This window comes from Homo sapiens, chromosome 10 (assembly GCF_000001405.40).
Source record: "Homo sapiens chromosome 10, GRCh38.p14 Primary Assembly".
NCBI classification, from domain to species: Eukaryota; Metazoa; Chordata; class Mammalia; order Primates; family Hominidae; genus Homo; species Homo sapiens.
The window spans coordinates 100,500,286-100,522,154 of NC_000010.11; the positions used below are offsets into that span (position 1 = coordinate 100,500,286).

Sequence of the window (21,869 nt, forward strand, 5' to 3'; positions counted from 1 at the left end):
CCTACAGTAGTCTTGTGAGTCTAAATGTTTCTTTTCTTTTTTTTTTTTAGACAGACTCTTGCTGTCTCAACCAGGCTGGAGTACAGTGGCGCCATGTCGGCTCACTGCAACCTCCACCCTCAGGGTTCAAGTGATTCTCCTGTCTCAGCCTCCTAAGTAGCTGGAATTACAGGCGCCCTCAACCACGCCCGGCTAATTTTTTGTATTTTTAGTAGAGACAGGGTTTCACCATGTTGGCCAGGCTGGTCTCGAACTCCTGACCCCAGGTGATCCACCCACCTCAGCCTCCCAAATTGCTGGGATTACAGGCGTGAGCCACCGCACCCAGCCTTGTGAGTCTAAATGTTTCTTTGAGAAGACCTCTGGTAGAAGTTGCACAGGTACAGTAAACAAAGTCAGCTTCCCACTCAATGTCCCAAATACCAAGGAGCAAACCTTTCTGAAGCCCCCGTAATCTTGGTTAGCTGTCCCAGGCCCTTAATTTATTCCACACTGAAACATGATTTCTAACCATACCTTTCTCATAGTCTCTCTGGGCACCCTTCTCCTTCCATGCCCTTCCCTTGGAAATGTTCACCACACCCAACCAGGAACCATCATGATGGACAGCTCTTGGGTAGCTTTTAAACCAGAATGCCTGGCCAGGCGCGGTGGCTCACGCCTATAATGCCAGCACTTTGGGAGGCTGAGGTGGGTGGATCACCTGAGTTCAGGAGTTCGAGACTAGCCTGGCCAACATGGTGAAACCCTGTCTCTACTACAAAAAAAATACAAAAAATACAAAAAAAAAAAAACCCTGTCTCTAAAAAAAAATACAGGCGTGGTGGCAGGTGCCTGTAATCCCAGCTATTTAGGAGGCTGAGGCAGGAGAATTGCTTGAACCCGGGAGGCAGAAGTTGCAGTAAGCCAAGATCATGCCATTGTACTCCAGCCTGAGCGACAAGAGTGAAACTCTGTCTCAAAAAAACAAAAACAAAAAAACCCAGAATGCCCTGTCCTATAGGTCCCTCTGTCCTATAGGTACCACTGTCTCCTTTGTTTAGCGGAGTAAAGGCTGAACTCCTGACCACTCCCTCTCTTTACCATCTCACCATTCCTGGAACTTGTATCCTGCTTATGACAAAAGCATCATTTCTTATTCTTTTCTTCCCACATCATTCTCTGGCTTCACTGTATAGTCAAGATCTTTCTCAAATCCTCTTTCTCTAACTTCCTGATGTCCACCTTCATAAAGCTCTACTATGCCTAAAGCTCAAATTTCAAGTCCCTCTCAGATGCCCTGGTACAGGCCCAATCCTTTTTGCTTTCTTCTAAACAATTCCAAAAACTTGCACAATCATCCCACTGACTGACCAGTCAGCTACTTGCCTTTCTTCCTTCAGATCTCTCACTTGCTCATTTCCTTTGATAGGTATAGTACTCCTCCTGGTGTCACAGGAAACTTGAAATTAAATGAGAACTGGAACTGAACCCATGCCTCCAGTGTACAGTGGCACCTGAACCCTAGGACCCACTCCAAGGACTTGCCTTGGGTTACTTGAAACCAACTCAAAGCCTTCTTATGACAATATGTCCTTCTAACTAATGTTTTTCCTTTCTCCTCTTTTTCTCTTTCCTCCCTTTTTTCTTCCTTCCCATTACCTTATCTGCCCTTTGGCATGATACCGTGAAGGTCTTTGCCTTGGCCCTGGTAAAATACCTAGGACATCAACCATAGTAGCAACAAAAGAAAACATCTCGTGTATTCCCCATCTTTCCTAGCCTCTTCCCAAATGGCCTTTGAGCCTCTGGTAAAGGGTGAACGTTTTGTGTCTAGATGGTGGGTATAGTGTGGGGGAAAAACTAATGGGAGTTAAGGCCTCTGTGATCTGGGTCCCAGTGTGCTTGTGCTTCTCCTGCAGTTGACAGAGGTTGGAGTTCCAGGCTTTGGGGAGACACTTCTGAGCAGCTAGCCTTCAGGCTTCCCACCTTCAGGAACTGCCACAGCATCTTTTCACTTTGCAGTAAAGCTTGCTGGCTCTTGTTCTGACAGTAATTCAGTAGATTTCCTGATCCCAAGGCCTCCTGCAGCTCAGCTGATCGCATCAGGAATTCAGATTCTGTGGTGACTTGACTGATGAAGACTAGGCGGGGGCAAGGCTGTGGCACCAGATGGGCAGGGGTGCTGGGGAGGCCAAAAGTAACCAGCTTCCCTCCAAACTGGTGAGGAAAAGCAAGAAGGGTAAAGGTTATACCTTCAAGTCAAAAAGTAACACTAAGTCAGATTCACAGAGAAGGCTATCTAATGGCTGACCCTAGGCTAGGAAATAAATAAAATAAGAGAGTTCCTGGGGGGTGGAATAGGATCAGGAATTTAGTATTGAATTCGTCTCCCTACCAAAACCACTTCTGCACTCTTAGGACCACCCACTTCAAACTTCACCACACAAGACTCACCTTCTGCTAACCTGTCCTGGTACCACCATTCTCCCAGTCACCTGGGCTAAATACCTCAGCATTAGCAAAGTCTTCATACCCCCTATAGCCAAGCAACGACAAAGTCCTACCTATTCTTGTTCACTGTCTTTCATGCAGGTCCCCTCCATCCCATTCCCAGTGCCAGTACCCCCAGATTACTAAAATAGTTTGCTAGCCTTCTGTTCTTTTCCCTCCTCTAATTAAGCCTTAGACTATCCCTCTATTGCTTGTACCAACCTGCTGCTATTCAGGAGCCTGTGTGGTTTCACAAGGCCACAGGAAAGAGCTTAAGCTCCCCTTCCTGCAGTGCACAAACCTCTGCAAAATCAGGGCCAAACCTATCTTTCCCAGCATCTCTCTCCCTGCTTGTTTATTATAATTGCTCCACATCCCTAAAATGCCTGGTGTGTTCCTGCTTCTGTGCCTTTACCCACAACACCCCCACCTGGAGTATCCGTCTCACCAAATTAGATGCCTTATATAAAGCATCTGGCACAAAACAGGACCTTAGAAAAACCCTTTTTACTCCAGCAGTTCTCAACATTGGCTGCATATTAAAACCACATGGAGAACAATCCAGACTTGCCAGGCCACACCCCAGACAATACAATCAGAAACTCTGGGGATGGGACTAGGCATCAGTATTTTTTGAATTATTCAGGTTATTCCAATGTGTATCCAAGGCTGACAACTTTTTTTTTTTTTTTTGAGATGGAGTTTTGTTCTTGTTGCCCAGGCTGGAGTATAATGGCGCAATCTCGGCTCACCGTAACCTCCGCCTCCCAGGTTCACTCGATTCTCCTGCCTCAGCCTCCCAAGTAGCTGGGATTACAGGTATGCACCACCACGCCCGGCTAATTTTGTATTTTTAGTAGAGACAGGGGTTTCTCCATGTTGGTCAGGCTGGTCTCGAACTCCCCGACCTCAGGTGATCCACCTGCCTCGGCCTCCCAAAGTGCTGGGATTACAGGAGTAAGCCACCAGCGCCTGGCCGACAACTTTTTTTTTTTTTTAATTTTTACTTTAGGTTAAAAAAATTCAATCCAATGCAGTAAATGTCCATGTTTGTTATATGGTAAACTTGTGTCATGGGGGTTTGTTGTACAGATTATTTGGCGTTGATAACTATTGCTTTACTCCCTAACTATTCACCATTTCTTTTCCCAATATCCACCTCCTAATGAACTCTCCCAGTCAGAATTCTTATTTACCGTGACTTCTGCAGCACAAAATCTACACCACAGATTAGTGCTAAACAAAACCATTTTAACTTTTGATTTATATAGTACTTGATAGTTTTACAAAGTGTGTACATATATTCTTATTTGTGGTTCATGTTAATTTTCTGGGCAGGCATCACTATCCCTGTTTTACCGATAAGAACGGTTAAGTCCTGAGAGGTTAAATGAATTGTTCAAGGTTACCCAGCTAATAAATGACAGAGCTATGATAAGAATTCAGGCCTCTTGACCTCAGAATTCTTTACCTCCCTACTTCTTTTTCTTTTTAAGCTCACAGCCTATTGAATGTGTTAGTCTTGCCTCCCCAGTAAAACCGTTGGCTTTGAAAACAAGAACTTCCGCTTTTATACATCTGTTTTCAATTCAAACCTAATATTTAAAGCATTGTACCAAGTGCTTCAGGGCCTTGTCATTCAAAGTGCTAGTCCTCCGACCAGCTGCAAGGACATCAACTGGGAGCCTGCTGAAAAATCAGAATCTTGGGCCTTACTTCCAACTCAATGAACCAGTTTCTGAATTTTAATAAGATCCCCAAGTGATGTGGATGCACATTAATAGTTTGTGAAGCACCGCTTTGGGGATATAAAAATCAGCAAGACATAGTCCCTATCCTTAAGGAGTCTATTACTTAGTAGGGTAATATGCATATATGTATATAAATAACTTTAGTATAGTTAGAATGTATCGTTACCAAAGTATAAGTCTGTGGGATTATAGAGAGAGGTTAATTTTGACTTGGGTTAAAGACAGGCATCAAGGAGGAGATAGTATTTAAGAGAGGGGCCTTGAAAGGCTGTGGTAGCATTCAATGGGCCCAGGAGAGAAGCTGAAGGTTAGGGTACAAGCAGAGACAGGAAGAGTTGAGGAGTTATTTACAAAACAGAAAGAAGTCATATGTAACTGGAACATAGAGAACATATGAGAATGAGACAGAAATGGAAAGGTAAGTGGAGCCCTGTGCAAATTTAGCCTTGTCTATAAAGCAATGGGAGGCTCAAACGTTTTGAACAGAGAAATGACAGAATAAAATGGTTTTTTTTTTGCCTTCTTTGTAGTTCCTTACTACCAGTCCAGACACGTAAGGGTTAGAGAAAAGATGGAATCTCAGGCTATTTCTCCACAACCAAGAGTTCTAAGGCAGTCAGCTCCTTTTAGACAGGACTGGCAGAAGATATAGAATGGGTGAAGTGAAGAGAAGGAAGCTATAGTAACTCTCTCCTTGAGAGGTAAAGTGGGATCCATTCTGAGACAGAGGCAGTGGGAATACGTCTGCTACAAAACTTAGCTCCATGCTGGGCACATGGTAGGCTTCACAAACACACACACACACACACACACACACAAACACACACACACCTATACATCCACTACACTTACAGCAAATGAAACACCTGTTGGTCTTCTAATCCATTTGGGGGGTTTTTTCAGGGGAGGTATCAGTGGTGCTTGTGCCACTTGCTCTGGCACCTGCAGTGGTGGGAGAGGCTGGCCTTTGCTGAAGGAAGAGGAGATCTGGGGGGAAAAGACACCTGCATCGCCATCCTAAAGTGGCAGTTTAGTCAGGAACTCCACCTACAAACTCCATTTTGGGAGGAATCCTTGAGACACCCAATTTGACCTAGAAAGGTCAGACTCCCATATTCCAGGGGATGGGGAAGTGAGTGGTAGCGAGGGTGGGACTCCCATGCAAGTAGGCTCTTGGAAAGACTACTACATTCAAAGTCTACAATGGAGTGTGGCACAAAATGGATCTATAGAAGAGAGAAAGATAAGAGTCATACTCTTGAAATAACTGTCCCAGCAAAGGGGTCCCACGGTCCCTGAAATACTACAGGGCCCATCCAATAACAAGAGTCAAGGTGAAGGCCTTCTTCACATTGTGGCAGAAACTAACATCCTTTCAGGAAGATGGGCACTAGGGCAAAGGTGCAGCCCTCCCAAACCCCGGGCCCTGGTCTCCCAATCTCCAATATCTCCGCTTCTCAAGCCATATGTCTCTCTCCCACAAACAGAGACAGCCCCTTCCCTCCAGCATTCTCTACCAAGCCCTTCAAACCTTGTCAGCCTGTCTCATATGCTGGACTTCCCAGCTCCTACCCATCACAGAGTACAAACTGATCCAGCCGTTGAAGGAGGCAGCAGAGAACACTGAAGGGTCCCGAGGGCACCACTGCACATCAAAGCACCAGCTGCTCTGTGTTGGTAGCTTATATACCACCTAATATGAGGGAACACACCATTAGGGACAGTCCATGAAACCCAAAACACATGGCTGCAGCTGAGATTCTTCTACCCTCTCTCTCCCATCCCAGCATGCCCACAGAAGGGCCAGCCTACCTCACTGCTCCCCAGGTTCCGGCACAAGATCTGGCTGTCCTTAGCACTAGTGAGCAGCAGCTCAGCATCAGCCTGGCTCCATGACACTGACAAGATCCCCCTAAAAAGAGAAGGGAAGAGGAACTAGCATTTGTTGAATGCCTACTATGAGTAGGGTGCCTTATATGTCTTTTATACATTTTATAGGGCATATCAGACCATCCATGCCCTATAAAATGCATGGTCTGATATTATCTTACAAATGAATAAAATGAGGTTTTGAAAAATTAAGTAACTTTCCAACAGTTGCAGAGTCAGAACCCAAACCAAACCTCAGAGCCTGTGCACTATGCAATGTACCACTCTGCCTCTCTTAGATCACTGCAGGATGACCTGCTTCTTTTCACTGATTAGACAGTAGAGATTATGAATCAGTATGAATCACACAAACACTCATCACTATGGGTGCTTTTAGCCCAGGAGGTAGTAAAGACCTAACCATCTAAAGTCCCCAAGGAGGCCAGGCACAGTGGCTCATGCTTGTAATCCCAACACTGTGCAAGGCCGAGCGGGGAGGATCACTTGAGCCCAGGAGATCGAGGTCACAGTGAGCCTTGATCACGCTACTGCACTCCAGCCTGGGTGACAGAGCAAGAACTGGTCTAAAAAAATAAAGGTACCCAAGGAGATACAAAGGCACCATGGCCCTTTGGTTAGAAAGAAGAGATTGTGGAGGCTGGATAGAGGCCTCCACAGGATAGACAGGAGTCAAGTTGTTTTTATGAAGAAATCCTGGAGGAGGCAAGCTCATCACCTAAAGAAATGAACATTATCCTCATATCAGAGCCTGGAGGCTAAACACTGGTTCCAGTATTTCTCATTACCCCATTCCATTCCCATCTCTGGAATTTAGATGGAATCTCAGCCTCCTCTCCATAACCTCAGGGTCTAAGGGCCTCCTCTTGGTTAAGGCTGGAGTAGGTATTGGGTGACTATATGTTGACCGGAATGGCTTTAAAGCCAGGGAGGATGTTTAGTAGCTAAAGTGAGGGATACATTGCCTCCTACCCAGCCCAGTTATATCCACCATCCCCCCAAGGATATGGATGACGTCTGAGATGCTACCTGCTGTGGCTCTCCAGCACCTTCAAGGGCGAGGAGGCAAAGCGCAAGTCCCACAGCTGAATCACGGGAAGTCGATCATCCTCTGAGCACAGCACTAACTGGGTGGCTATGTCAGGATGCCAGGCCAGGCCTGAGCAGTGCATCTGTGAACAAAGCAGATCCCAATGGGTGCTGTAACCTGACTCTTTTGCCCAGTTGAAATGGGACCACTCTGAGAGCAAGTTTTCTGTCTCTTTTGTGACTGGGAACACCACAGGCATCAGAGAGTGATGGCCAGGAATAAGTAAGGAATGGCAGAAGCTTCCAGATCAGCTCTGTTTAGCTTCCCTAAGTTTTCACTCTCAATAGGAAATGTGCTAAGCGGCTGACTCCACATGTCCGACAGCTGAAAGCAGGACTCTGGCCTGGGGCAGAGCAGCTCTAACTGCTAGGCAGGAGAGAGAAGCCAGAGCCCAAGCCTGTGTTCTGGCCTCCAATACTCACCCTGTTGCTGTGATCACTGACTTTGATGATAGGTTCATTCTTCCTGAGATCCCACACAACTGCCTTGCCACTGGGGTGAGCAGAAGACAGAATGTGTTGGGCTTGCCGGTTCCAAGACAGTGCCTTGATGTCCTCTGGAGGCTGCTAAGGCAGGATGGGGACAGAAAGATGACAACTTGTCACCCCCTGGACAAAGTGACATCTGCTGTTCCACTGCTCCCAGCCACCCACAGCAAGTCCAAGAATAGACATGGGGCTACCCAAACTAAGACAGTGTTGCGAAGCTGGGAGTTGAATTTTCCAGGGAGGATCCTTTAGGGTATCAGTGTAGAAGCAGAGGGGATGGCAGGCACATCTAAGTTTTACTCCTACCCAAGGTTTTACTAAGAGGATAGAGTCAAGATTTTAAAAAACAGCCCTCTTGTCTAGGACAAAAAAAGAGGGAGAGAAGGAGGAAGATGAGGGAGGGAGGAAAACAGATACCCAAGACCCCAAGAGAGAGTGAGGCCGAGAGAAAAACCACAAGATGCTATCAAATTGAAACTTAACTTACCTCATGATACTGTAAGCACAGAAGAAAGAGAAAAGGCCAGGAAGCAAAAAGATGGGCCCAGTTACAGATTGACAGACAGCCTCTCCAAGACAGAAGACCAGACCCCCAACTGCATGGCAGAGCCACATACAGGGAGAACAAAGCTGACCCCCCCCTCCATAAAAAGGACAATGGTATGTCTGGGGTCCTACTCTTCCTCCCTCTTTGCTGGGCCCAATGCCCTACCCAACCCTGCGAAAGCTCTACTGTGATAAACAGCACTCCCATCCCTTCTTGTGGTGTCTTTTGCTCTCCCCAACTTTCATCTGCCTCCCAGAAACTCTTAGAACGAGTAATGAGCACAAACCAACTACCCCATATACACCCTCCACCCACCAGCCATCCTAACTCTTATCTGGCTGGTAGCATGTTAGTCTGTGGAGCTTTATTGCCCTCCAGTGGTAAAGTTTGATATCTCTTGAGCTCTGATTGGCTCCAGAACTCAAGACTTTTACTTAGGAGAATCAGCTGCACACTCCAGGGTTGGGTAGTGGGGGTGCTGCTCACCTGTGACTTGGATCCCAGGGTCATTGGCACATTCAAGTTATTCAGATCCCAAATGAAGATTTCAGAATCGCTGGCCCCTGAAGCCAGGAGGTTGCCCTGTATGAATAAAAAGTGTTTGGAGACATACCACCCTAGGAAGAAACAGAGCAAGAAAGGAGGAAAGAAGCCCAAATTTGGGGCTATCAAAAGCCTCCCCTGAAACAGCCTGGAAAGGGGTCAGAGTTACAGACTGGAGGCCACAAATGAATGCTTCCACTCAGATCTGTTGCTCCCTGGCTTGGCCATGTTTGACTAACTGAAATGTAGTACCTGGAAAGGATTCAAGTCGAGGGCTCTGACAGCCCCCGTGTGCTTCTGTTTCTGAGCAATCACAGGCTCCTTCCCCGAAGACAGGATGTGGGTCACATTGTATAGAATAAGCATGCCATTGTCCCCGCCGCCAACAATAACCCCGGAGCTTTCCAGAAGCCCACTGCCAAAGCTCCCCCAGACCAGCTTGTGAAACCTATAAAGAGGAGGAACTGGCATCAGTACAAACTTAGGTTCATGTCAGTAAGCACAGGATGGGCATCTCTGTCAGCTTCTGCCATTATGCAGGCAGCCCCACCCCTAGCTGGAACTTGCCTGTCTCCTTCATTTCCCAGACAGAAGGGATGTATCCTCCGCCCAGTCCTGCCCTTTCTCTGAAAAAATGTTTCATCTACGTTACACCAGAAGCCAGGAAGCCACTGCCTCTGAGTTGTGTGGAGGTGTATATATATACATATATATGTACATTTTTAAGTTAACATTGGGGTTATATAGGCTGGTGATATATACTTCAAATAGATTACTTCACATAATCCTCACAACTCAAATAGTCAGGTAATAATAGCAACCACTTACACTGACTGAATACTTGCTATGTATCAGACACTGTTTTAAGTGCTCTAGGTGTATTAGCTGTCTGAACATTTAACAACCTCATGAAGTATTACTATTATTTCCATTTTCAATTGAGAAAACTGAGGCACAAAGAAGTTATAAAATTTCTATACACAGAGGTAGTAATTTTATCCCCATTTTAGGATAAATGCTAGGAAGTAGCAGGGTCAAGGTTCAAAGTCAGGCCCATCTTATTCCAGAGCCTGAGCTCTTAACATCATAAAATACTGTCTCCTATTGAGAGAAAGATTCAAACTCTTCTGTAACTATTAGAAGCAGGCTCCCTAGACCAACAATTCACTCTCAAACTGGAAATGAGAAAAGACCCAATGGCCTCCCCACCCCATGCCTCTCCCATGTGGCTGGCCCACTGGAGTGGCCATGTGGCTGCAAAGGGCCAGACCTGGAGACAGAGGCATGAAAGGATACACTCCCACTCAGGAAATACTTTTCTGGATTTCTGAGGATGCTTCTAACAAGATAATGCCAATGTCTTGCCCCAGAGAAAAAGATCCCTTTGGATCCCTGGATCCCTTCTAGACAAGTTTGGGTCCTCTGCAAAGCCCCTACGGAAGACATGTGAAATCCCTGAAGCCTCATAGGTGGTCTGTCTCTCACTTCATAGCTGCTAGCCAAGGACATTTCCACAGCCCTTTGGAGAAGCCAGATATCACGCCAAATGAGGTTACAAGATCTCCAACTGCAAAGAAATATTCCCTGCGAACAGTCAGCAAAGCAACTGAGTAGGTGATAGGCAGGAACTTGTTAGGCCAGTCACTGGAGCAGAGCCAACTGGTCAGAAGCAAAGTATGGAGAACCAGCTCAGACCAGGTCAGCATCTGAAGCAAAACAGCAGAGCCAACACAATGCTAGCTAAGAGGCTACTGCCAGAAAGGCTGTTTTCTAAGGTTGCAATGATCTTAATACAGCAGAAGGATGTTTTTCCATACAGGCTGAAGAGGCTGCCATGTCATCCAGGGACTGGAGCTCAGCAGGGGTAGAGGGCATGTCAACTGAGTAGCTAGAGAAGCCCACAGTAGGTCACACAGGAACCAGCGGAGGGTATGTGCAGTGAAAAACCCACATGAAGATGCAGAGGGTGCAGCGACCTCAGCATGGTCGGAACACATGACATACAGAGCACAGTAAAAGGTACCTGAGACCTCAAGGGGGAGTCACCAAAGGGCTGGAAAAGAGGGCAGTTACTTCAGAGTGGCAGTTACTTCAGTTTGCCACATACAGGGTGTGACAAAATGATTTTCTTTCTGTATGCATATAGAAAGCACATTTCTGTGGTTAACCACATCACTAGCAAGGGTAAAGCTGGCGCCTGAATAGGTTGTGATAGAGAGCAAACCTGGGCGAATGGGCTTAACACCTAGGTGGAGTTAAGTGAGGAAGGAGACTTGATGGTTCAGGGTGCTCAGGGAGTGTTCCCATCTCTACTCTGCAAATGAAAACGGGAACAAGAGATGGGTGGGTGCGTACTATTCTGCAACTTTCCTGTAAGTTTGGATTTTTAAAAAATAAGAAGTTGAAAAACAAAAAGGGTGGTCTAGCTGGGCACAGTGGCTCACACCTATAATCCCAGCTACTCAGGAGGCTGGGGCAGGAGGATCACTTGTGCCCAGGAGATGGAAGCCAGCCTGGTCAATAAAGTGAGACCCTATGTCTATTTTTTTAAAAAAGAAAGAAATATCTGCTGTATAAATTGTTTCCATGATTTATTCATTCCTTTGGTTTGGATTATTTCATTTTCTTAGTAAGATTCTTTTCAAAAAAAATCCTAGCTTCATGTTAGTGAACTAAAGTGAAAAGAGTTTGTCCACATTCAAGCCAAAATAACTTGGGAAACTCAAGCCTCCCTAGAAGTCAAACAGAGTGATTAAGGCAGTACTCCAAGCTGGAGAATGAATGGAGCATTGGTTGTTTGAGAGGAAAGCTACTTTTCTGAATGCCTACGCATCTACTATGAATCCTCAATTTACAGTGGGAAAAAAAGGTTCAGAGAAGTTAAAGTGTCCAAGAGGACAGCAAGTAGCAGAGCTGGGATATAAACTCAGGTCTATCCAACAACTAACCCATGCTCTATTATCTTAATGCCTCTAGAAAGAAGGCAAGTCTTGAGAACAGGAAAACTGAGAGAAGTACACAAATGATTTTTTTCTGCTTGATGTTGTCCCTTACAGAAGGCCCCCAAAGAGAGGACACAGTGCTCCCCAAGTAACTAGAATTGAGATAAAGGTAGAATGACAGAAGACAGATCCTCTACTTTCTCCATGTTACTTGAGGATGGTTCTTCCAGAGGTTATGGGGGCCACTCCAGAGAGCTAGAAACTCAGTGTATAGAGAGGGTAAGGTACAGCAGACCACACATTGATCTCTCACCTCATTTACCCACAGCAGCTATGTCCTCAGTCGATGATATAAACAGTGTGATATTCTCCCAGAAACCTTTCTTTTTGAGTGAAATTCATCTAACAAACCCAACACTGTTTGCTTCACTGCACATGTTAATCCATATTGATTCTGACTGCATCCAGAGGCATTTATCCATGCACTCTCTTCAGTCTATTTATAGCTTGAGGCTGTCCCTTATCTATACCCATACTGGTGTTTCAGAACATTTTTCTTTCAGTCAAATATTTCTAGGTAGATAATATTTCTCTGATGCATCAAAGATTGAGGATAAGGGGATCTTCAGGATCCAAATTTGGTTGAGGCATGGGTTTGGAGAAAAGAGCAGGCAGAGAATGGGGAAGATTTTGAAAGGTGCATGTTTAGTTGATAAAAAAGAGATATAGGAAGAGGTTTAAAAATGGAAAAATGAGGAAGACTACTAGAAAATAAAAGGGAATAAGAGACTGAACATGAAACCTGAATTCAGATCTCAGCTAGTTTCTTAGAAGTTATCTGGTACAATCTCTTCTTTATACATAAGTGAGGGAACCTAAGATAACTGACTTGATTTGCCCAAGTCACACAGCTCTATTAGTATTATGGCCAATGCTACTGCCCCACACAACTGTGCCTTATGCCACAGCATGCAGAAGACACAGAAAAAAAGAGAGAGGAAGACAGAAAGCAAAGGACGAGTGTCCCTCTATCTTCCCTAATCATCTAGGTCAATAGTTTATGATACTGACTGTTGAGCATGTGACCTAACCTAGACTGGAACAGAATGAAGTGGGTGTCTTAGACCCTGGGTGTCTAAGATGATTTCTTCAGAAAGGCCCCAACAGGGCTGTGTCAAAGGTAATCCCTTTGGGATTGAGGTCTTTGGGAATGTGATTTAATCTTCCAACACAGTTACAGAGGTGGGAAAAGAAAGCAGAGATAAAATACTTATCAGTAGGGTTAACTGTGCTATTTATTCTGATTACTGGCCCCAAATCCCTACAGAGTGGAGCAGGAGTATGAGGTAAAGTTCATGACTCCCAAATTCAAACTAACAGCTTGAAAAACCCTTAAGACACTAAGACTAACTGTAACTGAAGTGCTGGATTTGAATGCTGTTTGGTAACCCAGAAGTTTCTTCTTCTTTTTCTTTTTTTTAGGCAGGGTCTTGCTCTGTCACCCAGGCTGGAGTGCAGTGGTACCATCTTGTTGGCTCACTGCAACCTCCGCCTCCCACGTGCAAGCGATTCTGGTGCCTCAGCCTCCCGAGTAGCTGGGATTACAGGTGTGTGCCACCACGCCCAGCTAATTTTTGCATTTTTAGTAGAGACGGGGTTTCACTATGTTGGCCAGGCTGGTCTTGAACTCCTGGCCTCAAGCGATCCACCCGTCTCAGCCTCCCAAAGTGCTGGGATTACAAGCATGAGCCACCGCACCTGGCTGGTAACCTAAAAGTTTCTAATATCACTCATTCATATAACAAATATTTATTAAATACAAATATTTATTAAATATAATGCCAGGCACTGCTCTAAGTGCCTGGAGATACAGCAATGAGTAAAACATTAAAATCTCGGCCGGGTACAGTAGCTCACGCCTATAATCCCAGCACTTTGGGAGGCCGAGGTGGTTGGATCACCTGAGGTCAGGAGTTCGAGACCAGCCTGGCCAACATGGTGAAACCCCATCTTGACTAATAATACAAAAATTAGCTGGGCATGGTGGCGCACCCCTGTAATCCCAGCTACTCGGGAGGCTGAGGCAGGAGAACTGCTTGAATGCAGGAGGTGGAGGTTGCAGTGAGCCAAGATCGAGCCACCACACTCCAGCCTGGGTGACAGAGTGAGATTCTGTCTCCAGAAAACAAAACAAAACAAAAAGCCATTAAAATCTCTGCCCACATGGATCTCAAAATTCAGTTTATAAGATTATACTGCCTCTTTCTTAAGAACCCTTAGCCCTAAGGAGCCACTACTACGCTGAAGCTGTTGCTTTGCTTGCTGAGGATTAGAACTAGTGCCCCCTCACCCTTTTTTCTTTTCCTATTAGCTTTCTCAGGTTGAACCCCTTTTTTAAGCTCTAGCATATAAACATCTTGAATTAGCTCACCCCTTTGAGGGGACCCTTCTGAAATGTTTGGTTAGGGGCTAAGAGTATCTAATCATCATCAGTAAATCCTCAAGTGCCTGCTCTTCAAAGGATACAGGTACTGGAAATACAAAGAGATGTAAAAAAAAAAAAACCTGCAAAATAAGAGATGCTCTCATAAAGTGATGCAGGAGCTCAAGAAAGGGAAAACGACAACTAACTTTTCATTATGAAGTTAAACTATGAAAAGAAAGAGGGTACTTCCACCTCAATATTTTAACTAATCTCTTAGAGGGACCAAGAAATGCACAAGGAGTTCATCAATCATCAGAAGGAATGTTGCCTTCTAGACCAGTAACCTCTAATATAAAAAAAATTAACAGAAATTACACTTTATTAGTAGTATAACAAAAAAATTAGCCAGGTGTGGTGGCGCGCACCTGTAGTCCCAGCTACTCGGGCGGCTGAGGCAGGAGAATCCCTTGAACCTGGGAAACAGAGGTTGCAGTGATCTGAGATCACCCCACTGCACTCCAGACTGGGCGAGAGAGTGAGACTCCATCTCAAAAAAAAAAAAAAAAAAAATAGTAGAGCCAGCTGGCTCAGTGGCTCACACCTATAGTCCCAGCACTTTGGGAGGCCAAGGGGGCTGATCGCTTGAGCTCAGGAGTTCAAGACCAGCCTGGGCAACATGGCAAAACCCCATCTCTTCTAAAAATATAAAAAATTAGCTCGGTGTGGTGGCATATGCCTGCAGTCCCAGCTACTCAGGGGGCTGAGGCGGGAGGATTGCTTGAGCCCAGGAGGTGGAGGTTGCAGTGAGCCGTGATCGTGCCACTGCAATCCAGCCTGGGCGACAGAGTAAGACCCTGTTCCAAACAAAAACAAAAACGGTATAGTAGTACATGTATACATTTATATTGAATATATAACTTGAGTATAATGAATATTCACATTTTTTCTGATGATATAAACATTTGGAGACCATTGCTTCAGATTGTAAGCCTCAACTTTACAAGACCTTTAGAAGAAGGGCAGAATGATGGAAAGAAGGTAGGCTTTGGACACAGATAGGCCTTGACTTAAATCCTAGCTTCTCAGAGTTTCAGTTCCCTCCTATGTAAAATGGAAATATGGTACTTATCACTTAGGTTTATTATGAGGAATAAATAAAATGTACAGAGCCCCTAGCACAGTGTCTGGCATGTATACATGTGCTCAATGAATGATAGTATCTAGCGCTGGAAGCCTGCAAGAGCCATGAAATCCATGAGAACCAATCAGTGTCTAAAAGCAATAAGGAGAGGATCATTCGTTCTCTTCCTTGTTGGCAGAGAGGGTGATATTGTGTAAGGTGTTTATCTTCACAAGAGCCAAGGGAGGAAGGAGCCAATATCTCTGGGTTCAAAGACAGACCAGGTACACGTGGGTCCAGGCTTGTCTGAGGCATCTCTATCACATGCATTCAGCCTGACACTGCTATTGCTGCTGACTGGAAAGGGGGGGGGTGGTTGTTTTTTAAATCCTTTTGCAAAATAAGCCCAGAATTAACTTTTCTCCAACTTGGCAAAGCTCCTTCTTCCCTCACTTGGCTCCTCATGAGCCCTAAGAAACACACACTGCTCCCAGGATTCCACGTCAGTATCTACCCTGTATACCCATCAATAGATCAGACAATACCTGCTCAAGGCAGAAAGGACTCCTCTGTGTTTCAAGTCCAGAGAAGGGTCCCTGAAATCAACCTCAAATATTTCCAATGTGCCATTTGTGCTGAAGGAGGAATCTAGCTGTTGGGCAGATGTTCCTAGGCACAAGAAAAGGCAGCATATGAGCAACAATATATGCATGGATTTCAGGTATAAGAAGGTTAAGGAGTGAAGAAGAGAAGGAACAGAAGAGGGCTGGGTATACCCTTTCTCAAAGGTAACTCCACAAAAGCAAGAAAACGTTGGCTGGGCGCGGTGGCTCACGCCTGTAATCCCAACATTTTGGGACGCCGAGGTGGGCAGATCACAAGGTCAGGAGATCGAGACCATCCTGGCTAACATGGTGAAACCCTGTCTCTACTAAAACTACAAAAAAAATTAGCCAGATGTGGTGGTGGGTACCTGTAGTCCCAGCTACTCAGGAGGCTGAGGCAGGAGAATGGCATGAACCCAGGAGGCGGAGCTTGCAGTGAGCCAAGATCGCGCCACTGCACTCCAGCCTGAGCGACAGAGTGAGACTCTGTCTCAAAAAAAAAAAAAAAAAAAAAAAAAGACGTACCTAACCTTGAGCCATAGTCCTAGGCAGCCCTCAGGTACCCAAAACACCTAATATCTCCTTGCTTATGCTGTGAGCCACCCTATCTTTCTATGATCTGAGAGCTTTCTCTGATGTTCAATAAATAATTCTAGATACTAAGTTTCCCCTCAACTTATGTACTCCCAGTGGATCCTAATTCACAGTGTCACCATACCTGTGGCCAGATACAAAGGGTATTGGCTGGCTGGGCTCCATGCCTGGACAGCTGGCCGCTCAAGTTCCTTCAGCTTCATGGTCTATCCTGTAGGTGGCAGAAAACTGACATGGCCCTCAGCCCACTGAAAATAGAAACCAGCAAACTTAACAGCCAGATCCAGGGAGCATCTGCGGACAAGAGTTCTTGTTTGTCTTTCTCCATCACAAGATAGGGCATTTCAGGGCAACACAGAGTGACAAATACATGACCATCTGCAGATCTAAAGATAGTTCATTCACCCAATTACTGAAATGTAATGCTTTAAACCTCAAATGATACTCAACCACAATGGCTACCACAGGTCCAGTGGTGATAACCATCAAACCAGACAATCTCTCAGTGATGTTTGTCCATTTCCTTGGCTTTAAATAGCACCCATATGCTGATGATCCCCAAATTTATATCACCATCACAAATCTCTCCTCTAAGCTCCAAGTTCTTATATGCAATTTCTTTTCGTTTTTTAGACCAAGTCTTGCTCTGTCACCCAGGCTGGAGTGCAGTGACACGATCTCAGCTCACTGCAACCCCTGCCTCCTGGGTTCAAGTGATTCTCCTGCCTCAGCCTCCCGAGTGGCTGGGATAACAGGCATGTGCCACCATGCCTGGCTAATTTTTGTATTTTTAGTAGAGACGTAGTTTTACCGTGTTGGCCAGGCTGGTCTCGAACTCCTGACCTCAAGTGATCAGCTGCTTATACGCAATTTCCAATCAAATATTTCACTTGGATATAGTAGATACTTAATGGGGGAGGGAACTCCCATTTTAGTCTGTCTAAAATGGAGTTCTCTATTCTACCATCTTTTATGGTCTTTTTTTATTTGTTTTTTTCAGAAAGGAGCAAAGTCACAATCTCTTCTGTTCTTCCTCCAGTTTTTTTCATCTTGGTAAATGGTTCCACTATCCACCCAATTGCTCAACCCAGAAGCCTGAAAATCCCTCTTGATCCCTCCTTCTCCCTCATTCTCTTCTAATCCATCATTTAGTCTCCTTGATTTAACCTCCAAAATATATCTCAATCTGTCTACTTTTCTCTATTTTCGCTGCCAACAGCCTTTTTGATTGTATCATCTCTCACCTGGAGTACTCCAACAACCTCCCAACTAGCTATCCCCTTTCTACTCAAGCCATTACCCAATTCGTTCTTTACACAGCAGCAGGAGTGAACTTCTAAAATAAAAAATGATTTTGGCATTCCATGCTTAAAATCTTTCAATGATTTCTATCACACACAGAATAAAATTCAAACTTCTTTGAGCCCTGCCCAAAGGCTCCAGCCTACCACTTCAACTTCATCTTTTAATACTTTTCTCATTCATTGTGCTTCAGCCACACTAGCCTTTAATTTCCTGACATTTTCCTTCCTTAGAGCCTTTACAAATGCTGTTCCCTATACTTTGAATGCTCTTCCCTTCACTTTCGACATGACTGGCTCCTTATATCTTTCTGGGCTCAGCTTACTTCCCCAAATAAGTGAACTACCCAATCACAAAAAGCCTCAGTTTTTTTCTTCCTAGTAATTTATAATTACATATTTATTTATATTGACATTGTCAGTCTCTTCCACTAATATGCAAGCTCCATGAGAGCTGACACTGTGTCGGCTTTTGTTCACCATGTTGTAACTAGTTTCCAAACGAATGTCTGGCATATGGTAAAAGCTCGAATGTGGACATCCATTTTAACTCTGTGGTTTCTGATCTAATTCCAATGTATATTCAAGGTCCCATCCCAACAGGCTAGCAAACAGGTAGAAATGATTTTTAAAAATTACACTGAACTTGAGGAGAAAGCTTGGGACCTACTGTGACCTGCTTGAGTAAGCTATAGTCAGATCAGTCTCACCTACAAAAACAGGAGATAGTATTACTTAATCTCTAAGGTACTTTCTAGCGTGAAGAAAGTTTAAGCCTGCCCATTAAGCCAAGATTTCCAAAGCACCTTTAAACACTTGTGGCTACTATCACGTATTCTGTGACCAGCTCAACACTCTACTATACAGTCACCAGTGCCACCTGCTGGTCACAGCCATTTTAATGTTTCTGGGAAAAGATTCCCTAACAACAAAAATAGGAGCTGCGATAAGCAGCTGTGCATTTGATGTGCATATCTCAGTTAATTCTCTCAGTGGTCTTATCAGGTAAGTACTATGATTATCCCCATTTTCTAGAGATGACAACTGGCTAGGCCGGGATGTGAACCCCCATCAGCATCAAGAGCCCGTATTTCTAACCACTGTACTAGTCGCAAGTAAACCCTAGAAAGTGTTTTAATCGCTGACAGTCTAGGAACTGGGAAAATGGGCTCTTAATTCACATTGTTAAGAGGCATCTATTCACAAAAAAAGGGCCCCCGCTGGGGTCAGATTGGCCATGGGGGCGTGAGGGGGAGATGACCAATGAAATGCTCGACAGACCTGCCGTGCAGGAGGGCACCAGCTACCCTTGGCAGTCCAGTCCCTAGGGAGGACGGTCAGCACAGCCTCTTTCCCGCTGTCGCCGAAGCGCGGCGCGCCAGGGTCAGCAATGACAGACCTTCCCGCCCAGCCCAAACGCAGCGACACCGGACGGCCTCGGCTGGGCCAGGTCAGGACCAAGGCGGATGGGAAGGCGCAAGGCAGCAGTGAACAGGGAGACCCTCATCCGGCTGGGGGTTCCCGTGCGGCAGGGACAGTAGAGCCGGATCCAATTCAAGGGTAGACGTAGTGGAGGCCCCCGAGGCCCGGACCCGCGGGCAGGGCAGGCGCGGGCCGGGGGCTCCGCAGCAAGCGGGCTCCCCTCCGCGCTCTGCCGAGAAAGGAGCAGTGCTCCGGGTCCCCAGCGCAATCTCTGCTACCAGGGACCCCAGACCGGCGGGGCGAACCAACCTGTGCGGAAGACCCCGGACAAGGGTCAGGCGCGGCGGCCGGAGCCGCTCCTCTGGCAGGGCTCTCGCGCGGAGCCGGGCGCTGTGGACGGCGGCTGCGGAGGACCAAAGCGGCGCGGACCCCGGCAGGGCACCGTCGGAAACACGCTCCGCGGGCGCCGAGCCCGAGACACTGACAGACCCACGGAGAACGTTTCCAAACAGGATTATAGCTTTTAACCGGGCCTCCCTCACCTACCCTGTGATTGCGCAGCGGGTCAGATCTGGACCAGTAAGTTCTGGTCTATTCAGTTTGAGCCAGGCTCTAGGGCCAGTCTCTGAAAAGGGAAAATACTAACTCATTATCTATGTATTGAAGCGGGAGAAGACCCGGCCCTGGCCCCAGGAGCCCTCAGTGGAATCCATTTAGTTGAAAACGTAAAAAGCAATCGAGGCTGTAAATGGCAGTGAGTGTTGCACTGCAGCCCAGCAGAAACTGGTGCCCAAAACTTGGTTGAATTAAGGGCTATAAGTGTATGGAGGGTGAGACTACAGGGCCAGGGGCTTCCTGAAATATTTGAGGAACATAGGAGGGGTGTTATCCTCTGGAGCTGCAAGAACACAGGTGATATTCCAGCCGATAATGTATTTTTTATGTTGAAGAAATTGTGCCACTTCCAAATAAAAATGTTCTGTAGACAGGTCGGGTGCAGTGGCTCACACCTGTAATCCCAGCACTTTGGGAGGCCAAGGTGGGCATATCACCAAAGGTCAGGAGTTCGAGACCAGCCTGGCCAACATGGTGAAACTCCGTCGCTACCAAAAATATAAAAATTAGCCGGGCATGGTGGTGCAGGCCTGTAGTCCCAGCTACTCACGAGGCTGAGGCATGAGAATAGCTTGAACCCGGGAGGTGGAGGTTGCAGTGAGCTGAGATCACGCCACTGCACTCCAGCCTGGGTGACAGAGACTCCATCTCAAAAAAAAAAAAAAAATTCTGTAGGCAGCTTTAAATCTTAGAAACTTATGCTTAACGCATGAATTCTCTGTATTCCTGCCTGATACACCTCCAAAGATGGGGGGCCAGTTATCATGATGGAGCCCAACTCATTGTGACACGACTCCAGTTCCCTTCCATGTGGATCTGGCAATTTTGAAGTTAGACAGAAGGTAATTCAGTGCATTATCTGTGCCTAGCCCACGCTTCCTACCTACTAAGTACTCAAGTATTTCCTGAACTTCTTAGCTGGCACAACAGGGAATGAAGCCTGAGGAAAAGTAAACAGGGTTAAAAACTAAACCTGAGAGAAGGAGGCAGAAGAGTTACTGATGGAATACTCCTAAAGAAATTTGAACCAGAAGCTTAAGTCACAGTTTCGGGTAGGACATGATTAAGCCAAATTAAAAGTGCACTTTCTCAACTCACACCTCTTAAGAATTCTTGCTGGGAGCAGTGGCTCATGCCTGTAATCCTAGCACTTTGGGAGGCTGAGGCGGGCAGATCACTCGAGGTCAGGAGTTCAAGACCAGCCTGACCAATATGGTGAAACTACATCTCTACCAAAAAATACCGAAAAAATTGGCTGGGCGTGGTGGCATGTGCCTGTAATCCCAGCTACTCGGGAGGCTGAGGCATGAGAATCACTTGAACCTGGGAGGCAGAGGTTGCAGTGAGCTGAGATCATGCCACTGCACTCCAGCCTGGGTGACAGAGTGAGACCATGTCTCAAAAAAAAAAAAAAAAAATTCTTTTTGGCCTGGCATAGTGGCCCACACCCATAATCCCAACACTTTGGGAGACCAAGGCAGGTGGATTGCTTGAGCCCACAAGTTTAAGACCAGCCTGGGCAACATGGTGAAACCCTGTCTCTACAAAAAATACAAAAATTAGCCAGGTGTGTTGGTGCATCCCTGTGGTCCCAGCTGCTTGGGAGGCTACAGTGAGAGGACCGCTTGGGCCTGGGAGGTAGAGGCTGCAGTGAGCTGTGATCACACCACTACACTGCAGCCTGGGCAACAGCGTGAGACCCTGTCTCAATAGTAATAATGATAAAGAATTATTTTCACTTTGTATTATAACTGCTGGTCTCCTATGTAATATTTGAAGGTGATTACTTTGTCTTGCTCAGTTTTATATCTCCAGGGCTTATCAGTGTTTGATACATATTAGACACACAGGTGTTTGTTAAGGAAATGATTATCAAATGCTATAGAGAATGAAGACAGATAAAAAGCCAGTGGGGACCTTCAAAGAATAGCATTCCACAAGTATCCACTCCCTGACCTCACAAAAGGTCTCTCACTGCCTGCACAACTAAGACTCCACATCTAATTTGAATGAACTTGCTTCTTTTGGTCACATAAAATGTATGCTTTTCTATGGGACAGGTTTTCC

General features: G+C 45.8%; 1 protein-coding gene across 1 annotated transcript in view, besides 1 other annotated feature; it reads right to left on the bottom strand.

Moving 5' to 3' along the window:
* SEC31B (SEC31 homolog B, COPII component) overlaps positions 1–19,576 on the bottom strand; it is a 33,215-nt gene extending 13,639 nt beyond the window's left edge. Inside the window, exons 1-11 of the mRNA NM_015490.4 lie at positions 19,497–19,576; positions 16,589–16,712; positions 15,811–15,934; positions 9,031–9,226; positions 8,722–8,817; positions 7,623–7,766; positions 7,140–7,282; positions 6,036–6,135; positions 5,755–5,916; positions 5,076–5,210; positions 1,969–2,199 (exon numbers count right to left, since the gene is read on the bottom strand). Coding sequence (NP_056305.1) covers positions 1,969–2,199; positions 5,076–5,210; positions 5,755–5,916; positions 6,036–6,135; positions 7,140–7,282; positions 7,623–7,766; positions 8,722–8,817; positions 9,031–9,226; positions 15,811–15,934; positions 16,589–16,667 — 1,410 coding nt within the window. The 5' untranslated portion in view covers positions 16,668–16,712; positions 19,497–19,576. The remainder of the gene's footprint in view (positions 1–1,968; positions 2,200–5,075; positions 5,211–5,754; positions 5,917–6,035; positions 6,136–7,139; positions 7,283–7,622; positions 7,767–8,721; positions 8,818–9,030; positions 9,227–15,810; positions 15,935–16,588; positions 16,713–19,496) is intronic.
* Positions 6,294–6,494: a silencer, noted in NCBI's record as "peak1070 fragment used in MPRA reporter construct". NCBI's record gives its function as "represses an SCP1 promoter by STARR-seq MPRAs in K562 erythroleukemia cells {active_cell/tissue: K562}" and the evidence as "EXISTENCE:reporter gene assay evidence [ECO:0000049][PMID:32103011]".
* Positions 19,577–21,869: the final 2,293 nt, after the last annotated feature.